Raw genomic sequence first — 20,375 nt, forward strand, 5'->3', positions numbered from 1 at the left:
AGCATTCATCCTCCGTTTGAGGAAAGGTAGAAGCAGGATGAAGAACCGGTTAGTTATTCATGGTTTTTTAAGCCTTAAGTGTTCGCAGTAGTAGTTGTTGGATATTCTTTGGGCCCCAAAGAAGAAGTGGGTAATCTTGATACATGACTAGTCACTGCATAATTATCAGACACCTTCAGCTTTTCTCAGTCAAAAAACTGTTCTTTATCTTTGCATAAAACTAGAGCCAGAATATATTCCACCTAGTTACTATCGTTTTTATTTGAGGTATAACATGAATAGAATTTTCTCCTCTATTGCATTCATAAGTAATTTGTAAATTTTAGAAAAATGTGACTTCTAGGAAATAAAGGATAATTTAAAGATAGGACACTTATAATAATTACTTGTTATGTGATACATTCCTAGAACTTAAACAGGATTTTCAGAAGTTTCATCTGTACCTTACCATGGCTATATGGGAAGGTACTAATTTTATAGACAAGGAAACTGAAGCAATAAAGGTTAAGTATATGCTTGAAGTTTTGCAACTAGGTGACAGCTGGGATTAAAGACATCTTTCTGAAATGCCATTCATGTTCTGGAATGTACTGTGTATGTGTGTATTTCTCCTTGCAAGAACCTATCAGACTAGAAAATTTGGCTCATAGTTAGAGTACACATGACAAGTGTTCTGTTAAATAATATGTAGTATTTGACAGGTAGGGGCCTTCTTGCTATGTATCACTTAAGGAAAATAATGTGAAAGTATTTTGAGAACAAAAGAATATAAGACGATTATTTAAATTGTCCATATTCCTAAATTATCACCACCATTTTCATTTTTATGCCATCATCATGTGTCACACGCTATATTTTAACTGCCTTTAATCAAATGCATTAATTTGTTCATGTGAGTCAAAATTCAAGAAGTTTATAAGGTTTACAGTGAAAAATCTCCCCCTCATCTTCTATCTAGCCCACTCAGTTCTTTTTCCCAAAGATGATGTTACTTTGTTATATATCCTTGCAAAGTTACTACTATACTCAAATCTATATATTCTTGTCTCCCTTTTTACAAAATTTGAAATATGTCAGATGTACTGTAATACACTTTTTATTTTTCACTTTAATGCTGTTCTAGTTATCTATTGCTGAGACACAAATGACTCCTCCAAAATGTAGAGACTTAAAATTATTTTGTCATCTCCATGGTTCTGGTGAGTGGGCTTAGTAGGTGGTTCTCACTCTGATCTTTTCCTTGCTCTTGCAGTTCATTACGGGGCAAGAATCATCTCAACACATCCGGCAGTTGGTGCTGGCTATTGGTTGGGACCTCAGATGGGGCTGTTAGCTAGAACACACCTACATGTAGTAGCCTTTTATGACTTTGCTCCAGAAGTCACATAGATAGATAGCATCTGTTCTATTCTAGTCACAGGCCTGTACAGATTCAAGGGAAGAGTGTCAACATCACACTGTAAGAAGAATGTGGTGTAGAATGTCTTGTTGCAGCTGCCTTAGAAAATACAATCTACAGGCTGGGCGTGGTGGCTCACACCTGTAATCCCAGCACTTTGGGAGACTGAGGTGGGCAGATCACGAGGACAGGAGTTCGAGACCAGCCTGACTAACATAGTGAAACCCCTTCTCTACTAAAAATACAAAAATTAACCGGGCATGGTGGCGCGTGCCTGTAGTCCCAGTTACTCGGGAAGGCTGAGGCAAGAGAATGGCTTGAACCTGGGAGGTGGAGGTTGTGGTAAGCTGAGATTGCACCACTGCATTTCAGCCTGGGCAACAGAGCGAGAGTCCATCTCAAAAAAAAAAAGTACTGTCTGCCGTAAGACCTATCTATATCAAAAGAACGTCCGCATTTTTCTTGGCTGTAACAGTATTCCCTTGCATGGGTCATATTAGTAATATCAGTTCTCTAGTTTTAGATATGCACATTGTTGTATCTTTGGCTATAATAGTACTGTACTAAATAACAGCAGTAATTTCTCACATATTCTGAGTATATCTGCAGTATATATTTTTAGAGCCCAGTGTGTTTGGTTTCTCTTTTCTTTTTTGATTTTTTTTTGAATCGGGGTGTCACTTGCCCAGGCTGGTGTGCAGTGACGCTGTCATAGCTCACTGCAGCCTTGAACTCCTGGGCTCAAATGATATTTCCACTTCAGCCTCCCAAATAGCTGGGACTACAGGTATGCACCAACACACTTGGCTGATTTTTAAATTTTTGTAGAGAAGGGTTCTCATGTTGCCCAGGGTAGTCTCAAACTCCTGGCCTCAAGCCATCCTCCTACCTTGACCTCCCAAAGTGTTGGGATTAAAGGCATGAGCCACCATGCCCAGCCTGTGTTTAGTTTTTCTGTGAACTATTCATAACCTCATGTTACTTCTATGTAGATTTCTTTATAATAGTCACACTACTGTGTTCCATTTGATTTATTAATGGTAATATTTCTCAGTACATCTATATTGTCATATTTTAGTATCTGGCAATCTTCTCTTTTTATTATTTTTTAACTGTTCCATTGTTGGGCATTTAATGTTTGCTTTTTTGTTTGCTGTTTTAGGTAATCACCTAATAGGGGATATCTTAGAATTTCACCCCCCCCCCCCCCGACTTATTTTCGTAAGATCAATTTCTAGAGGTGATTACTGAACCCAAAGGAATTTTATCCTAATAAAATTGTTTTGTAGGATCAAAAGAATTCTAATCTTCATCCTTTTTCATCCCTTAGAGATACATCCAGTTTCTTTGGGGGTTGGCATAGATAATTATATCCTAGGATTACAGGTTTCCTCTAACTGTTAATAGGAGTTTAAAGTTTTCCCTCTCTGTTTAGTCTTCTTTTCTATTATGTTGTAAAATTCTCAGATATCAGAACTTTTGTTTTTGTTTTGAGAGACAAGGTCTTCCTCTGTCACCCAGGCTGAAGAGCAGTGGCATGATTATGGCTCACTGCAGCCTCCACCCCCTGGGCTCAAATGATCCTCCCACCTCACCCTCCCAAGTAGATGGTACTACGTGTGCATGTGCCACCATGCCTGGCTAATTTATTTTTAAGATGGAGTCTTGCTATGTTGCCCAGGCTGGTTTTGAGCTCCTGGCCTCAAGCAATCTTCCTGAGACAGGAATCCCAAAGTGCTGGGATTACAGGTGTGAGCCACTGTGCCCAGCCAAATATTAGAACTTTTAAATTCATTTAGTATGTAAGCTTACTGCCAAGCATGAAAGAATCACTTTGAAGGCCAGTAATGTTTTAAAGGTCTGGAAGATTCTCTTGAGGGCTAGGAAGCATTATGTGCTAGGTTCTTGAACCAGGAGAAAAGGGGTATCACTAAGAAGAAGGGAAGGAATCCTGGTATGCAAAATAGCTTGGGCGCTATCCTTGCACATTTGACAAGTTTAGTGAAGTACTATTGAACTGTTCAGTAAAGTATCTGTTGCCTATAGATAAAATGTCTTTTGTAGATACTTATATATCTACCTACCTATAGATATCTATATATCTGTATCTATATATCCCTTAAAGCTAAGCTAATTTCCTTAACCTTTTCTCTGTTGATATTTGTTTGGTAGCCTTTATCTGATTCTAGTTAATAACTCGTACCCTGTCATTTTTTTAAAAATACCCTTTGTTTTTGTAATGTGTTCTTTCATTCTTCTTCCCAATTCAGTTTTGGTACGTTCCTGTTACGTAAATCTAATCTGGTGAGCAGAGACTTTCTTAGGATTATGCCACTTGGTGAGGCAATCACAGGGTCTTAGCCCTGAAGGCGCCCATACTGACTTTATCAGTTTATTCTAGGGAGATCAGGTTTGGGGCACTAACTTAATACTAACAAACTCCTAAGATTAATTTAATTTTATTTATTTGTTTGAGACGGAGTCACCCAGGGTGGAGTGCAGTGGCGTGATCTTGGCTCACTGCAACCTCTGCCTCCCTGGTTCAAACGATTCTTGTGCCTCAGCCTCCTGAGGCTGGGACTACAGGCGCATGTCACCACGTCTGGCTTATTTTTGTAGTTTTAGTAGAGACAAGGTTTCACCATGTTGGCCGGGCTGGTCTTGAACTACCTCAGGTCCCACCTTGGCCTCCTAAAATGCTAGAATTACACAGACGGGAGCTACCATGCCTAGCCAAAACTCCTAAGATTTACTTACTTACTTACTTTATTTATTTATTTGAGACGGAGTCTCGCTCTGTCCCCTAGGCTGGAATGCAGTGGTGTAATCTCAGCTCACTGCAACATCTGCCTCCTGGGTTCACCTGTCTCTGCCTCTCAGATAGCTGGGATTGCAGGTGCATGCCACCATGCCCGACTAATTTTTGTATTTTTAGTAGAGATGGGGTTTCACCATGTTGGCCAGGCTGGTCTCGCACTCCTGACCTCAAGTGATCCACCCGCCTCGGCCCCCCAGAATGCTGGGATTACAGGTGTGAGCCACTGTGCCCGGCCCTAAGATTAATTTTCAAACAATGTGCATCAGTATGTTAGAAATACCTAGTGTTAGCCGGGTGTGGTTGTGTGTGCCTATAGTCCCAACTACTCTGGAGGCTGACTTGGGAGGATTGCTTGAGGCCAGGAGTTCAAGGGCGCAGTGAACTATGATTACACCACTGCCCCAACCTGGGTGACAGTGGGAGACCCTGTCTTAAAAAAAAAAAAAAAAACTTAGGGCGACGATGTTCAGCTGGTGACATGTGGCTGACTGTCTTATGTACTGGTTAGTGAATTCCCTTAGAGTTGGGTGTCCCGTAAGGGTTGCTGTCAAGCTGTGATAGTAAAAAGCATTGACTTCTCAATATCCTTTATCCTAGACAGTGTTGGAGAAATGCTAATTTTTATTCTTTACCTCACTCTTGACTTCATGCAGGATCTTCCCTGTGTATCATTAATATTCTTCAGGATTTTAAATTGTTTCACAACTATTACCTTTAGATGTTGCTCATAGATTTTTATATTTGTTTCCTTCCTTCCTTTATTTTTTGGGGCAGGGGTTGGGATGGGGACGGGATGACAGGGTCTCACTGCCACCCAGGCTCAGGTGATCCTCCTGCCTGAGCCACAAACCTCTCCCACCAACCCCCCGCCCAGTAGCTGGGACTACAGGTGCACGCCACCACACCTGTTTTGTATTTTTGTTAGTAGAAACGATTTCTCCATGTTGCCCGGGCTGGTCTCGAACTCCCGGGCTCAAGCAGCATACCCGCCTGGGCCTCCCAAAGTGCTGGGACTGCAGGTGTGAACCACTGCGCCTTACCCAGATTTCTTTTTAAAATTGCGGTAAAATATCCGTAACACAAAATTTACCATTTTAACCATTTTTGAATATACAGTTGAGTGGTATTAGGTACTTTTAACATTGTTGTGTAACTATCCAAAACTTTATCTTCCCTAGCTGAAACTCTGCACCCACTAAACAATAACTACCCCTTCTTCCCGTGTCTGGCAACTACCATTCACCTTTTTCTCTCTGACTCTGACTACTCTAGCTACCTCACATAAATAGAATTGTACAGTATTTGTACTTTTGTGGTTTCCTTATTTCATTTAGCATAATGTCCTCAACGTTCCATCCATGTTGTAAAGCAAGTGCCAGAATTTTCCTTCCTAAAACTTTTTAGGCTGGATAATATTCCATTGTATGTATATACTTCATCTTGCTTGTCCATCATTGGACACTTAGGTTGCTTTCATCTTTAGCTGTTATGAATAATGTTGCTGTGAACATTGGTGTACAAAGAGTGTTTTAAGTTCCTGCTTTCACTACTTTTGGATGTATGCCCGTAAGAGGAATTGCTGGATCATATGGTGATTCTATCTTTAATATATTTGAGAAATCTCTATACAGTTTTCCATACCAGCTGCAAAGCAGTTCCAGTTTCTCCACATGATCACCCACACTTTACCTTTTTCTCTTGGTTTGATCATAGCCATTCTAGTGGCAGTGAAGTGGTAATTTGTGGTTTTGATTTGCATATCCCTAATGATTGGTGATATTGAACATCTTTCCATGTGCTTATTGGATTTATTTATTTATTTGTTTCGGTTTTTTTGAAATAGGGTCTCACTCTGTCACCCAGACTGGAGTGCAGTAGCATGATCACAGCACACTGCAGCCTGACCTCCTGAGCTCAAGTGATTCTTCTGCCTGTACCTCCCAAGTAGTCCAGCGCATACCCCCATGCCTGGCTATGTAAATTTTTTATAGAGACAGAGTCTCACTATATTGCTCATGCAGATCTTGAACGCCTGCTTAAGCAGTTCTATTGCCTTGGCCTTCCAAAGTCCTGGGATTACAGTTGTGAACCACTGTGCCCAGCTCTTATTGGTCATTTGTGTATATCCGTTGGATCAATGTTTATTCAAGTCCTTTGTCCATTTTTTTTTTTTTTTGAGATGGAGTTTCAGTCTGCCGCCCAGGCTGGAGTGCCATGGCACCATCTTGGCTTGCTGCAACCTCCATCTCCTGGGTACAAGCAATTCTTCTGCCTCAGCCTCCAGAGTAGCTGGGATTACAGGCAACCGCCACCACGTCCAGCTGATTTTTGTGTTTTTAATAGAGACAGGGTTTCGTCATTTTGGCCAGGCTGATCTTGAACTCCTGACCTCGGGTGATCCACCCACTTCAGTCTCCCAAAGTGCTGGGATTATAGGCATGAGCCATTGCGCTCGGCCCTTTGTCCATTTTCTAATCAGGTTTTTTGTTGTTGCTGAGTTGTAGGAGTTCCTTACATTAATATGTTCTAGCTTTCAGTCCCTTATCAGATGCTCATTGATTTTTAAGAGTGAATTGTAGATAAACTAGTATAGATCACCTCTTAAGATGGATTAATTTGGGGAAGATTGCTGTCTTTCTGTATGCTATCTACATAATAATTTTTTATTTTCTTGTTAGGCTTTTGGAATATTCTCTTTTTGGGTTTACTCACAGTGTGTATGCTTTACTGTGCCTTATTTTTTCTTTTTTCCCTCCTGGGTGCTGAGTAATACTTAGCCCTATTCTACTTTTATTTCTTACTCTTCCTCACATTAATTGCAATGTAACTCTTCCCTAACTACACTCACGACTGTCGCTTCTGCAGTCCATTCACTGGGTGCTTCCTGTATACACACACTTTCATAGGAAATAAAAATGGCCTCAGTTTTTATTTTTCCTGTTTTCGGCTATGTATGATTCTTCTCTGTGTGTAATTTTATCATCTGAAGTTAGTGCTTATCTGTCTGAGAAAATCTGTTATGTCGGATTACTGCTGTTAGTACTCATTTTCCCAGTGAACCAATTTCTGTCTTCACTGATAACTTTAGTACCTGATTCTAACAATCTCTAACTTGAATTTTTTTTTATCACAAAGCCTCATTCTATTTCTGAAATTTTGAACAAGACCCTTTCTCCCCTCTCTAGTCACTGCATGCATCCTTTCCTTTTAGTTTTAATTTAATTGCTACTTAATACTTAGTTACTAGTATTTTTTTTCACTTACACATTGGGATTGTTTTTTTAAAGGTACTCAAATATGACAGTCTATATTATTGTTTCTCTATACACATTTATTTACTACCGAAAATTGAAAAAAATAGCACATCGAAATTTCCTTTTACTGCAATTCAAATTTTTGAAAACCAGAAAATCTGATTTATTATACTCTAGCCAAACTACCCAGTGTTTTCTTTACATTCTTTCCCCACAAGTTACTTTACTTCTGATTCTTTCTTTTGAGACAGTCTGTCACCCAGACTGGAATGCAGTGGCATAATCTCAGCTCACTGCAACCTCCGCCTCCAGGATTTAAGGTATTCTTATGCCTCAGCCTCCTGAGTAGGTGGTACTACAGGCACGTGCCACCATGCCCAGCTAATTTTTGTATTTTTAATAGAGAGCCAGGGTTTCACCATTTTGGCCAGGCTGGTCTCAAACTCTGGGCCTCAAGTGATCCTCCTGCCTCAGCCTCCCACAGTGTGCTGGGATTACAGGCATGAGCCACTGTGCCCGGCCTTACTTCCAATTCTTGATGATGGATTTCATTTCACTAACAAGGTTGTTTTTAATTATTAAATAGTTTTAAATTCTTTGAGCATAAAAGTTTGTTCTACCTACTCTCCTGCCCTCACACTATCTTTTGGAATTTTAGTGAGATTATTAGGTTAAAAAGTATTAGCATTTTCTTGCCTTTGCTACATGTTGCCAAAATCCTTTCCAACGGAGTTGTACGAAATCACCAGCTGTGCTTGGGTTTTTTGCAAATTGGTGTTTTTTGGTTTTGGTTTTTTTTTTTTGGTTTTTTTTTTTTTTTTGAGATGGAGTCTCACTCTTGTTGCCCAGACTGGGGTGCAAAGGCACGATCTTGGCTCACTGCAACCTCCGCCTCCTGGGTTCAAGCGGTTTTCCTGCCTCAGCCTCCCAAGTAGCTGGGATTACAGGCGCCCACATCCACGTCCGGCTAATTTTTGTATTTTTTAATAGAGACAGGGTTTCACCATGTTCCTGGCTGGTCTTGAACTCCTGAACTCAAGTGATCCACCTGCCTCGGCCTCCTAAAGTGCTGGGATTACAGGCGTGAGCCACCATGCCTGCTGTATTTTTATTTTTTCATTATGCTAATTTAGGAGATAAAAATTGTTTTGACTATGTGGATGATTTCATTGACTACTGGTCTCCTTTTCTGTTCTTTTGTGAATTGTCTTTACACATTTATCCCTGAGGTTCTAAAGTTTTTCTAAACATTTATAATAGCTTTCTACACATTGAAAATACTAATCACTTAGCATCCATTGTAGAAATTTTTCTCATTAGGTTTGCCCCTTTGTTATGGATGTTATGACACAAGTTTTGCAAACCTGAAGTTTCATATTTTTGTGTAATCAAATCTGTAGTCTTATATAGAATTTTGGTCAATTTTAATAAAGCAATTCTTTCCTGTCAATTTTGATAAATAATAAGTTTGGGCTTGAAGTTGTATGGTTTCTCAGTTTTTGTATTTTTCCCCTTTCTGTTTAATTCATGTAGAATCATTTTAGTTATGGGGTGGCGGTTACTTTGTTTTTCTTTTTTTTCTTGAGACGGAGTCTCACTCTGTCACCCAGGCTGGAGTGCAGTGGCACAATCTCGGCTCTGCAACCTCTGCCTCCCGGGTTCAAGTGATTCTTCTGCCTCAGTCTCCTGAGTAGCTGGGATTACAGGCTCATGCCACCATGCCCGGCTAATTTGTATTTTTAGTAGAGACGGGTTTTCACCATGTTGGTCAGGCTGGCCTTGAATTCCAGACCTTGTGATCCACCCACCTCGGCCACCATGCCCGGCTAATTTGTATTTTTAGTAGAGACGGGTTTTCACCATGTTGGTCAGGCTGGCCTTGAATTCCAGACCTTGTGATCCACCCACCTCGGCCTCCCAAAGTGCTGGGATTACAGGCGTGAGCCACTATGCCCAGCCACTTTGTTTTTTAATTATTAATCTTTGGTTTAATGCCATCAATTTGAATATCCTTTCCCTTGCCCAGTGTGTTACAGTGTCTTCCCCTGGCTTACTGTTTAAGTCTTGCATATTATAATAGGCCTTTGGTATTTGCAGATTTGACATTTAAAGCTTCAGCTATTCTCACCTGATTCCAGGGTCTGTGGTAAAGTAATTTGTAGTTTTGCTGAGGCTGAAATGTTACTTGCTTGCTGCCAGGCTTGCAAATAGGAGCTGATCACGTAGCTCAGAGGGAGCCTATCAGACAGGCCAGCACCCACATCTCAACGCAGCTTTGTTTTTCTCTACTTGTCATCGCGTACACAGTAACTCTCGAAGTGATAAAAGCTGTTTCTTTGTGAAATATGGGCCCGAAAAGAAAACCAACTGCTAGTGCTGGTGATGGAAGTGAAGAGAAAATGAAGCGGTCTAAGAGTGATGGTTCTTAGCCAGAAAATAGACGTTTTGGATAAATTAAAGTGGTTTTACAGATTCAGGTAAGTTTGTGGTTGGTTAATGTTGCTACAGTATTGATGTAGTAGTTTTATCTTTTCAGTGGCAGAATTTGTTTACGTAACTTTATAAATTACTAGTAATGTATTTTTAGGAGCACTGAGGATTTGAAGATGTCACCTAAATGTCAGTTACACTTCACCGAGTTTTATAGGGGAAATTAAACACTGTAGTGGAATTTGGCCAGGTGTGGTGGCTCATGCCTGTAATCCCAGCACTTTGGGAGGCCAAGGCGGATGGATCACCAGAGGTCAGGGGTTCAAGACCAGTCTGGCCAACATGGTGAAACCCCATCTCTACTAAAAATACAAAAATTAGCCAGACGTGGTGGTGGCCACCTGTAATCCCAGCTACTCGGGAGGCTGAGGCAGGAGAATCACTCGAACCCAGGAAGCGGAGGTTTCAGTGAGCCGAGATCGCGCCATTGCACTCCAGCCTGGGCAACAAGAGCTAAACTCCATCTCAAAAAAAAAAAAAAAAAACACTATAGTAGTATTTTAAAACTTTAGGACTTTGAGAAATCATGAACGTCTTAGGGTGTATTATGTATATCAAGAGTTTATTATAGTGGGCTACACTATTCCAGTAATATTTCTGTTCATTTAGTACTGTAGCACTTTTCATTTTTTAAAGTATATTATAAAACTGATTTTCCCTGGCCTCTAATGTTGGTCTTTTCTCCCCCAAAATTATGCTTTATCATACCACATGAACAGTAGTACGGTGGTGGTGGTGGTGGTGGTGGTTGTTGTTTTGAGACAGAGTTACACTCTTGTTGCCCAGGCTGGAGAGCAATGGCACAATCTCAGCTCACTGCAACCTCTGCCTCCCGAGTTCAAGTGATTCTCCTGCCTCAGCCTTCCGAGTAGCTGGGGTTACAGGCATGCACCACCATGCCTGGCTAATTGTTTTTGTATTTTTAGTAGAGACGAGGTTTCGCCATACCGGTCAGGCTGGTCTCAAACTCCTGACCTCAGGTGATCCACCTGCCTCGGCCTCCCAAAGTGCTGGGATTACAGGTGGAAGCCACCGCACCTGGCCCAGTACAGTGTTATCAGGTGAAAAATATCTTGATGTTGTTTTTGAGGTTGTGTTACAACTTGAGTAGATACCTTGTGAAATATCTATTTTTTCACATTTGGGAGCTGCCTCTCTCTACATTCAAATGTTATCTGAAGTAGCCTCTAAATGGTTCCATGTATCTTTTTGAACTTCCTTCTTTTAGTAGACATTTTTGAACATCTGTATGAACAAGGATTTATATTAAATGTTGGTACAGAGAGGAGCTACTACAAGTTGAGCATCCCTAATCTGAAGTCTGAAATGCTCCCAAATTCTTCGAGCATCAATATGATGTCACAAGTGAACAATTTCCACACTTAACACCTTTGCTTTCTGATGAGTCAGTGTACATAAACTTGGTTTAATGCACAAAATTATTTTAGCTTCAGGCTATGTGTACAAGCTTTATGTGAAACAAACGAATTTCATGTTTTGACTTGGATCCCTTCCCAAAAATATCTCATTATGCAAATATTACAAAATCTTTAAAAATCCAAAACATTCCTGGTTCCAAGCATTTCAGATAAGGGATACTTAACCTGTGGTCATTGCTCAAGTAACTCCCAATCAAGGAGAAGAAAAAGATATAAACCAATGATTATAAAAGGTGTGAAACGTTATTACACAGAGAACTCTGGGAGCACAGATGTAGGAGATATTAACTAGGGTGGAATGAAGGAAGGTTTCTAAGCAGAGTTGAGGAATGAATTGATTATCTTCTTTGTTAATCTGAATGGGATCCATTCCTGTTCAGCATGATTTCCCTTGGTTTTGTTCCTAGATTTAGGAATGATGCCCTGTTTTGCCATAAGGAAGAATCTCGTGTGTTTATTAGGAATGGATATTGACTCAAATGCCTTTTTGTAATTTGTTTAAATAAAATGGATTTTTCTTCATTAGCCTGTTAATGTAATAGTTTTGTATTTCTGAAAGAATGTACTTGGTAATGGGCATTTGTTTGTCTTAATGTATTTGTTGCAATTTCTTTGTATTTGGCATTTTTGTACATGTATGGTGTACATGTATGGTGGCCTCTTGTGTCTTTAACTGGCTTGAGAATTGGATCATATTTTCTTTAAGGCAACATCTCTAATACAGTTGGCCCTCTGAATCTGTGAGTTCCACATTTATAAATGCAACCAACTGCAAGTTGAAAATATTAAGGGGGAAAAAATTAACTTAGCTCCAAAAAGCAAAAATTAAATTTGCCACACACTTAATACTATGTTGAATCTATGTGGATGACGTGAGGTGCAGGCATTGTATTAGATATTATAAGTAATCTAGAGATGCTTTAAAGTATACAGGAGGATGTGCTTAGGTTATATACACATACTTTGCAATTTTATATCGGGGACTTGAGCATCCTCAGATTTTGTTATCCATTGGGGATTCTAGAACCAGTCCTTCATGATATATGGGGAGGTCCTGGAAACAGTCCTCCACAGATACTGAGGGATGACTATAGTTATTTCCCTGAGCCTGAAGTTTACTTATGGACGTATAAGTGAATGTTTTTAGTACTAGTAGACTTTGTGATCATAGTATGTCTGAAAAATGAAACAGTCTGTGCACATTTTAATTCCTTTTTTTTTTTTTGCAAGTCTGCATCAAACTATACTTGAAAAAAGGCTTATGTATTGTGACTTATTTTCCTCTTTTCCTTTTTGGTAAGAGTACTGTCTTAGGGACTTAATTTTAGTTTAAAATTTTAGTTTAAAAACATTTTTTGATCCTACAGGAGAACCTCTCGTGACCTTCAAAAAGTGACATAGTGCTGTCTGGATATCCTTTACCATAAATACAATATTTTAGAAAATGGACAATTCTGCTAATTGTTGGTTAAAAAAAAGTTTGAACTGGATTAGAATATATTTACAATGTGATTAATGAGAATTCATAAAACTATTAATTAGAATCTAGGTCCAAATGAAGATGTTTACAGTATTGTTTGCAAAATTCAGAAGATTTTAGTTGTTGATACTAAAGCCAGCAACCAGTTAACCTAAAAGAGCGTGAAAAATAAATGTTGTGTCTAACGTAAAAGAGATATATCTCATTAGACTTTGTTTCTTTAGCACATTTGATACTGGTTAGTACATCTCTATCAACGTCACTAGATAAACGGCTGTAATTTAGAGAAATATATCATAATTCTTTTGCATAATATGACAGTTTTAGAAAATGGTAATTCAAGTGCATACCAATTTGGAAATAGGGCTTGAATATCACACCTTGAGCTAAATGTAGAAGGAAGGGAGGAGCATACCAATTTACAGTGAATGATAGAGCAGCAGCAGAGGGCGGTCTAATGGCTGTGTGTAGGTCTTTTAATTTTAACAATATTGTATCATTTTATAATGCTACTTTTTTTTTTTTTTTGAGACAGAGTCTCTGTTGCCAGGATGGAGTGCAGTGGTGCGATCTCAGCTCACTGCAACCTCTGCCTCATGGGTTCAAACGACTCTCCTGCCTCAGCCTCCCGAGTAACCGGAACCACAGGCAAGCGCCACCATGTCGAGCTAATTTTTGTATTTTTAGTAGAGACAGGGTTTCACCATGTTGGCCAGGATGGTCTTGATCTCCTGACCTCGTGATTTGCCTTCCTCAGCCTCCCAGAGTGCTGGGATTACAGGCATGAGCCACCACGCCTGGCCTATAATGCTACTTTCCTAGTGTTAAAATTAGAATCAGGGAAAGTACAGATCCAAAAAATTCTTATGGCAGGGAATGAAAGGTAGGAGCAAATATTGAATCAACTGAACAAATTAAATCTAGGTTAAGGTAATAATGACTACCACAATTAAAGTGTCACAATGTTTTAAAAAATAATATAGCAAGAGGCCTGGTACGGTGGCTCACGCCTATAATCTCAGCACTTTTGGGAGGCACTCCAGCCTGGGAGATAGAGCAAGACTGTGTCTCAGAAAAAGAAAAAAAAAGATAATATAACAAGAAATACTAATTTGGTGGTAACTGACTGGGACTAAATTGCCAGTGTGCGCCAATAAAAACTAGTAAAATGGAACAGGACATGGTGTCAGCAGTATAGATGGTACTTTTAGGCACACTGGGTTTCCCCCAACTTCATTTTTTAAGACTATCAGTGCATTTCTTTAATTGTAGAGCAATTTTGAAATGCAGTCTTCGCTGGGCTTGGTGGCTTACGCCTGTCATCCCAGCACTTTGGGAGGCCAAGGTGGGCGGATCACCTGAGATCAGGAGTTCGAGACCAGCCTGGCCAACATGGTGAAACCCCATCTCTACTAAAACTACAAAAATTAGCCACGTGTGGTGGTGCATGCCTGTAGTCCCAGCTACTCAGGAGGCTGAGGCAGGAGAATTGCTTGAACCCGGGAGGCGGAGGTTGCAGTGAGCTGAGATCACGCCCCTGCACTCTAGTCTGAGACTCTTGTATCAAAAAAAAAAAAAAAAAGAAGAAGGAAAAGAAATGTAGTCTTAAGTTTATTTAGTATTATAACAAGCTTTTTTAAGATGCAGAAGTTTTTCAATCTGTGATTTCACTACAAAGGCCCTATATGTAAGCATATATGTAAATAGCTTAGAAGCACAGGTTTGCCAGTATTTAAAGCTATTATCAGCTGTGGGTATGCAATCTGTCAAGTTTCTAGGTGTTTTCTTTTTTTTTCCCCCCTCATTTATTACTTTTAACTGACACATAATAGTTGTACATACTTACGGGGTACAGTGTGACATTTTGATAGATGTATACAAGCAGGTGTTTTCTATATTATGAAAACATTTGGAGAAAAATGATTGACTTATTGTAGTCCTTTTCTTTCAGCTGCTTTTCTAACCCAAACTGTATGTCTTGATGACACTACAGTAAAGTTTGAAATATGGGATACAGCTGGTCAAGAACGATACCATAGCCTAGCACCAATGTACTACAGAGGAGCACAAGCAGCCATAGTTGTATATGATATCACAAATGAGGTAAGTATGGATGCATTCCACAGTAAAACTAATTTGAGTACCCACTTTTGGTGTTCAGAATTTTGATTAAATGTTTTGGAAAATCTTTTTCTGATAGTCATGACCTTTCTGCTGAAGCTTTTGTGAATTAGAAAATCTGGTTTTAAAAAAAAACGAAAATGTCTCATAATACAATAGTCCTAATAATTTCTTTCCCACAGTCACTTGGGACAGTCTTTTAAAGCCTTGTATCACAAAGATGCTTGGTAACCATTTTTTGAGCCTGTGCTCAATGGCTGTTTCTTTGTTTAACAGGAGTCCTTTGCAAGAGCAAAAAATTGGGTTAAAGAACTTCAGAGGCAAGCAAGTCCTAACATTGTAATAGCTTTATCGGGAAACAAGGCCGACCTAGCAAATAAAAGAGCAGTAGATTTCCAGGTATGTTAAATTTAACTCTCATTTGAAAGGCACTTTTTTCCTGTATGTTTTTCTTTCATGTCAACACTTGAATTAGTTATAATGTCAAAACCATGCAAGTAATAGAAAATACTGATTTTTAAAACAAATATAAAGTACTACATATAATAAAATGTTTCTGATAAACCTAAATTTTTAAATAGATTATTGTAATATATAAACTGACCCAAAGATTTTGTAGACTTAAACAATAAAGGCCGGGTTCAGTGGCTCACGCCTGTAATCCCAGCACTTTGGGAGGCCGAGGTGGGTGGATCACCTGAGGTTGGGAGTTCAAGACCAACCTAACCAACTTGGAGAAACCCTGTCTCTACTAAAAATACAAAATTAGCTGGAGATGGTAGTGCATGCCTGTAATCCCAGCTACTTGGGAGGCTGAGGCAGGAGAATCTCTTGAACCCAGGAGGCGGAGGTTGTGGTGAGCCAAGATCACACTATTGCACTCCAGCCTGGGCAACAAGAGCAAAACTCCGTCTCAAAATAAAAAAGAAAAACAGTAAAAGTAGTCATTGTTCACAGTGCAGAAAGTGATTGTATCCTGCCCTAATTCCTCCATCCCACACATACTTTATGTCCTAACCCTCTTCTACTCATGTGCAAATATGTATCAGCACATGTGTGTACCCCACATATGTACATACGCAAACACTTATGTGGTTGTTCTTAAAGGGGCATTCAAACATAAAGGTTCTGCCAATCTGTATCCAGAGTTGGAAAATAATAAGCTAAAAACTAATAATTAAAAAAAATTTTTTTAAGGCTGAGAAAATCCAGTTTTGTATTACGATTGCTAATTCAGAATGTTTGCTGCTGCAAAATAGGCAAGTGCAATCACTTAAAAACAAAGCAAGTCCTCTATTTAGACTTTTTTTTTTTTTTTTAAGATGGAGTCTTGCTCAGTTGCCCAGGCTGGAGTGCAGTGGCGCAATCTCAAGCTCACTGCAAGCTCCACCTCCTGGGCTTACGCCATTCTGCTGCCTCAGCCTCCCAAGTAGCTGGGACTACAGGCGCCCACCACCACTCCTGGCTAATTTTTTGTGTGTTTTCAGTAGAGACAGGGTTTCACTGTGTTAGCCAGGGTGGTCTCGATCTCCTGACCTTGTGATCCACCCGCCTCCGCCTCCAAAAGTGCTAGGATTACAGGCGTGAGCCACCACGCCCGGCATACTTAGACCTTTTAAAACTGTGCCTGTTCTCTTGCTCTTTGGCTTCTCTACTAGAAGGGCGGTTGTGGCTGTTCTGTATATATCAGTGATGAAATAGTTTTCTTTTTTGATGACGTAGATGGAATCCATGTATTCTTGCATCATTAGGTATTAAGTTGGGCATGTTACATTTGTAATTTTATTTAATTCTTAGGACAACGATGTGAGATGTAGTATCCATTACTCTTTCCAAAATTGTTGCCTTCCCAGCACAAGAGTGGCAGAGAAAACACTTAAATTACAGTCAGAAGTGGCCCTGTCACATAACAGTTCAGAGGAACCTCAGTTGTTTCTTTGTCCAATGGGAAAGATCATTGGTTACCCCTCACAACAGCTATGAGGATCAAAAGTAATAATATATGTAAACTGTAAAAGCATGACAAAAATGTAGGGCAGTGATGTAATTTTCAAAGGAATGATTTATGATATATTCAAGATTATAATATTGCTGTAGAAGTCATTGAAAATTAAATATGAGGTTGTCATTTAGTGTTTGAAGCCAGTGTTAGATATTTGGTTTCCCTTTGTCTTCATTGCAGACAGTAAGTGCAAATAAAAATTGCCGTTGAGATCAAAGAGAGTTTTATTTAGAATAAGATAATTCTCCCCCATCTCTGGAACTCAGTATTTGAAAGCAGATTTAATGTAAGAAAAGATTAATCAAGGTGGGATAATGCAAGAATTTCAGACAAAAAAGGAAATAGTCCATTATAAAATTATCTTGCACAGTGCTCTTACCTCTGTTGTAGCTTATTATATAGTTGTTGATTATAGATGATTATAGGAATCAGGTTGTAGTAATAAGAAAGTCTCCTTTTCTATAACAAGTTTAAAGCAGGTGTAGTGTATTTCCAAGAGATATATCTCATATATCTCATTTTTTGTTCTGTAAACAGGAAGCACAGTCCTATGCAGATGACAATAGTTTATTATTCATGGAGACATCCGCTAAAACATCAATGAATGTAAATGAAATATTCATGGCAATAGGTAAGATTAATATCTCTTTTTAAATGATCAATATAAGCAAAACAAGTGTGAAGCATATTTGGTTTGACTGTCTCTTTTTTAAAAAATTTTTGGGGGTGGGTTTGTGTGTATGTTTATGTGTGTGTGTGAGAGAGAGAGAGAGATTATACCACTTTTCTAAGTCCCTTCCACAAAACAATATTTTGTTGGTAATATTGTTAAATTTGAAAGATGATTACCTATTAGGTTGTAATACTGTCAGTTTAGGCAGCTTCTTCCAGGTGAGTTAAGCCTTAACCTCTTAACCTGATAGTTCAGACAGACAGATTTTGCAAAGGTTTCGCTGGGAAATTTGGATAAATATTTTTTTTATTAGATTATACTTTTTAAAAATCAAATTATTGGTAAATATAACTCAGAAGAACATGACACATAAGTATACAGATTGACAAATTATTTTAATGTAAACATTATAAGGAAGATGATTTCAAAGCATAGAGGCGTAAGGAGAAAAAAGGAAAACAAAACAACATCCATACTTTATATTACCTCAGATGGTCATTTGATCTTACACAATGTTCTTGCTGTTGCTTTAAGGTACTTTTTTTTTTTTTGAGACAGTCTCGCTCTGTCGCCCAGGCTGGAGTGCAATGGTACGATCTCAGCTCACTGCAACCTCCACTTCCCGGATTCAAGCGGTTCTCCTGCTTCTGCCTCCTGAATTGCTGGGATTACAGGTGCACACCACCACGCCCAGCTAATTTTTGTATTTATAGTAGAGACAGGGTTTCACCATGTTGGTCAGGCTGGTCTCGAACTCCTGATCTCGTGATCTGCCCACCTCGGCCTCCCAAAGTGCTGGGATTACAGGCGTGAGCCACTACACCCAGCCTAAGGTACTTTCTTTTTTTTTTTTTTTGAAATGGAGTCCTGCTCTGTCACCCAGGTTGGAGTGCAGTGGGACGATCTCGGCTCACTGCAAGCTCCGCCTCCTGGATTCACGCCATTCTCCTGCCTCAGCCTCTCCTGTAGCTGGGACTACAGGCACCCACCACCATGCCCGACTAATTTTTTTTGTATTTTTAGTAGAGACGGGGTTTCACCATGTTAGCCAGGATGGTCTCAATCTCCTGACCTTGTGATCCGCCCACGTCAGCCTCCCAAAGTGCTGGGATTACAGGCGCGAGCCACTGCCCCTGGCCCTAAGGTACTTTTAACTGATGGTAATTGCTGTTTCAGTTATAAGTAATGAAGTTGGAGTAGTAATAAGCCTCCTTTTTTCTATAACAAAAATAAAGGTTGGTTTTGTTTTTTGGTTTTGGATTTTTTTTTTAACCCTTTCCTCTTTCCAGTGGTTTTAATGTATAGATTCTACCTGAAGGGTCTGTTTTGGTGGTTCTCAAAGTTTGCCGTCTGTGGTTTTCATGTGCCCAGCACTCTTCTCATCCCATAACACCTTTTATTTTACAGCACTGATTCTTAACTGGGGTGTTCACAGTCCTAACCCCAAGTAAGAAATATTCTTAAATTGAACTCATAAATAGTTAATAGCTGAATCAGAGAATAATGAAAACCCAGTAAAAGTTGCAAGTATTTTTATTATTTTTCACTAGGTGACAGAGTTTAATGGTACTTCATTCGAAATGGGAAAGAACTTGCCTTTTCTCATGTAAACTGTTTTCCTGAAAAACTCAAGTTTGCAGTTTGCTAGGGAAGTGCTGGCACAGTTGCGAAGGATTGTGTGATAATATACTCATTTTACAAATGTGACAGATGACACCCAGAATCACATCTGAAAAGTTAGAGGAAACAATGAGTTAATAGGCCTCTCAAATCAGCCTGCACTGTAAACCTTTCTCACAATATTTAAACTCTACCAGATGGGCTTTAGTTTGTACCTTTTTATTCAAACATGCTAATAAAGTCATTTTTCGAGTTAGAAAGCAGCCTACATATTTTAGTTTTTTGTTTTTTTCTGAAATCAGAATGTTGCACTTCTTAAAAGAAAATCTATGTTGTAAATGGAATTGTGGCCTTTCCATTTCCTTCACTAGGTTAGTAAATTTTTTTTTCTTTTTTTTTTTGTTATGAAGGAACACTTTGATAGATTAGTAACTTAAATCACACAGTGCACTCATAACAACTCTAATCAATGCAAGGACTAAAAAGTTACTCGTTCTAGTTTACCTCCTTCATCCTCTTAATCTCACTCACCTCTGATTTAAACACTTAGGGAACATGCTAAAGGGATACATGATTGATTACTCAATCTGGAACCTAAGTTGTTATTATATACAATATATAGTGCTATTTTGTGTCCCAGGTACCAGTGTTCAACATTTCTGGGGCTTTGCTTGTAAATACATTTGACTGGAGATTTACCATTATAATGCTATTTATGCTACCAGCCCAGAGCCAGTCCCAGAGAAGTGGCCCAATTGAAGGCTTTCTTTCCAAACTTCAGTGCTCCTGGCTCCCAAATCCATTGCCCAACCCAGCATCTAGGATTCTAAAAATGATTGATGCTGATGTAGAATGGAATGTGTAGAACAAATAAAGGATAAAAGGTTCACAATGCAACTAGGCAATCCGATCTCAAAGCAGAGTGTATTCAATTTCTGAGTAACCTGAGTCAAAGCTATGGTAAAGTTAGAGTCTTACCATAGTGGTCTGTCCCCAAGATTGATAGAGATCAGTGTGTGCAGCCACTCTTAAAATCAGTACTCTTAGTCATCTTTAATATTCTGCCTCCCCTCAAAAAA

At 39.2% G+C, this 20,375-nt stretch overlaps 2 protein-coding genes across 4 annotated transcripts in view, besides 3 other annotated features; one reads left to right on the forward strand and one right to left on the reverse strand.

Annotated features, from left to right (window-relative positions):
• The window catches only part of RAB5A (RAB5A, member RAS oncogene family), a 38,079-nt gene that overhangs the window by 13,673 nt on the left and 4,031 nt on the right, over nt 1–20,375 (forward strand). The window contains exons 2-5 of one of the 3 annotated variants that reach the window (XM_047448648.1): nt 9,779–9,948; nt 14,832–14,983; nt 15,278–15,400; nt 17,541–17,634. In XM_047448648.1, the coding sequence (XP_047304604.1) occupies nt 14,930–14,983; nt 15,278–15,400; nt 17,541–17,634 (271 nt within the window). In that variant the 5' untranslated portion in view covers nt 9,779–9,948; nt 14,832–14,929. The remainder of the gene's footprint in view (nt 1–9,778; nt 9,949–14,831; nt 14,984–15,277; nt 15,401–17,540; nt 17,635–20,375) is intronic. The other 2 variants (NM_004162.5, NM_001292048.2) reach the window with 2 other exon arrangements.
• Nucleotides 48–217: an enhancer, noted in NCBI's record as "experimental_67724 CRE fragment used in MPRA reporter constructs". NCBI's record gives its function as "activates a minimal promoter by MPRAs in K562 erythroleukemia cells, with activity observed for both the introgressed and non-introgressed 3:20002394 variant alleles {active_cell/tissue: K562}" and the evidence as "EXISTENCE:reporter gene assay evidence [ECO:0000049][PMID:34662402]".
• Nucleotides 7,749–7,918: an enhancer, noted in NCBI's record as "experimental_67730 CRE fragment used in MPRA reporter constructs". NCBI's record gives its function as "activates a minimal promoter by MPRAs in K562 erythroleukemia cells, with activity observed for both the introgressed and non-introgressed 3:20010095 variant alleles {active_cell/tissue: K562}" and the evidence as "EXISTENCE:reporter gene assay evidence [ECO:0000049][PMID:34662402]".
• Nucleotides 7,961–8,130: an enhancer, noted in NCBI's record as "experimental_67732 CRE fragment used in MPRA reporter constructs". NCBI's record gives its function as "activates a minimal promoter by MPRAs in K562 erythroleukemia cells, with activity observed for the introgressed 3:20010307 variant allele {active_cell/tissue: K562}" and the evidence as "EXISTENCE:reporter gene assay evidence [ECO:0000049][PMID:34662402]".
• Nucleotides 19,192–20,375, reverse strand: part of PP2D1 (protein phosphatase 2C like domain containing 1) — a 32,304-nt gene continuing 31,120 nt past the window's right edge. Inside the window, exon 4 of the transcript NR_027694.2 lies at nt 19,192–19,405. The gene's annotated coding sequence lies outside the window, so the exon portion shown is untranslated. The remainder of the gene's footprint in view (nt 19,406–20,375) is intronic.

The sequence above is a fragment of the Homo sapiens genome, chromosome 3, assembly GCF_000001405.40.
Source record: "Homo sapiens chromosome 3, GRCh38.p14 Primary Assembly".
Lineage (NCBI taxonomy): Eukaryota > Metazoa > Chordata > Mammalia > Primates > Hominidae > Homo > Homo sapiens.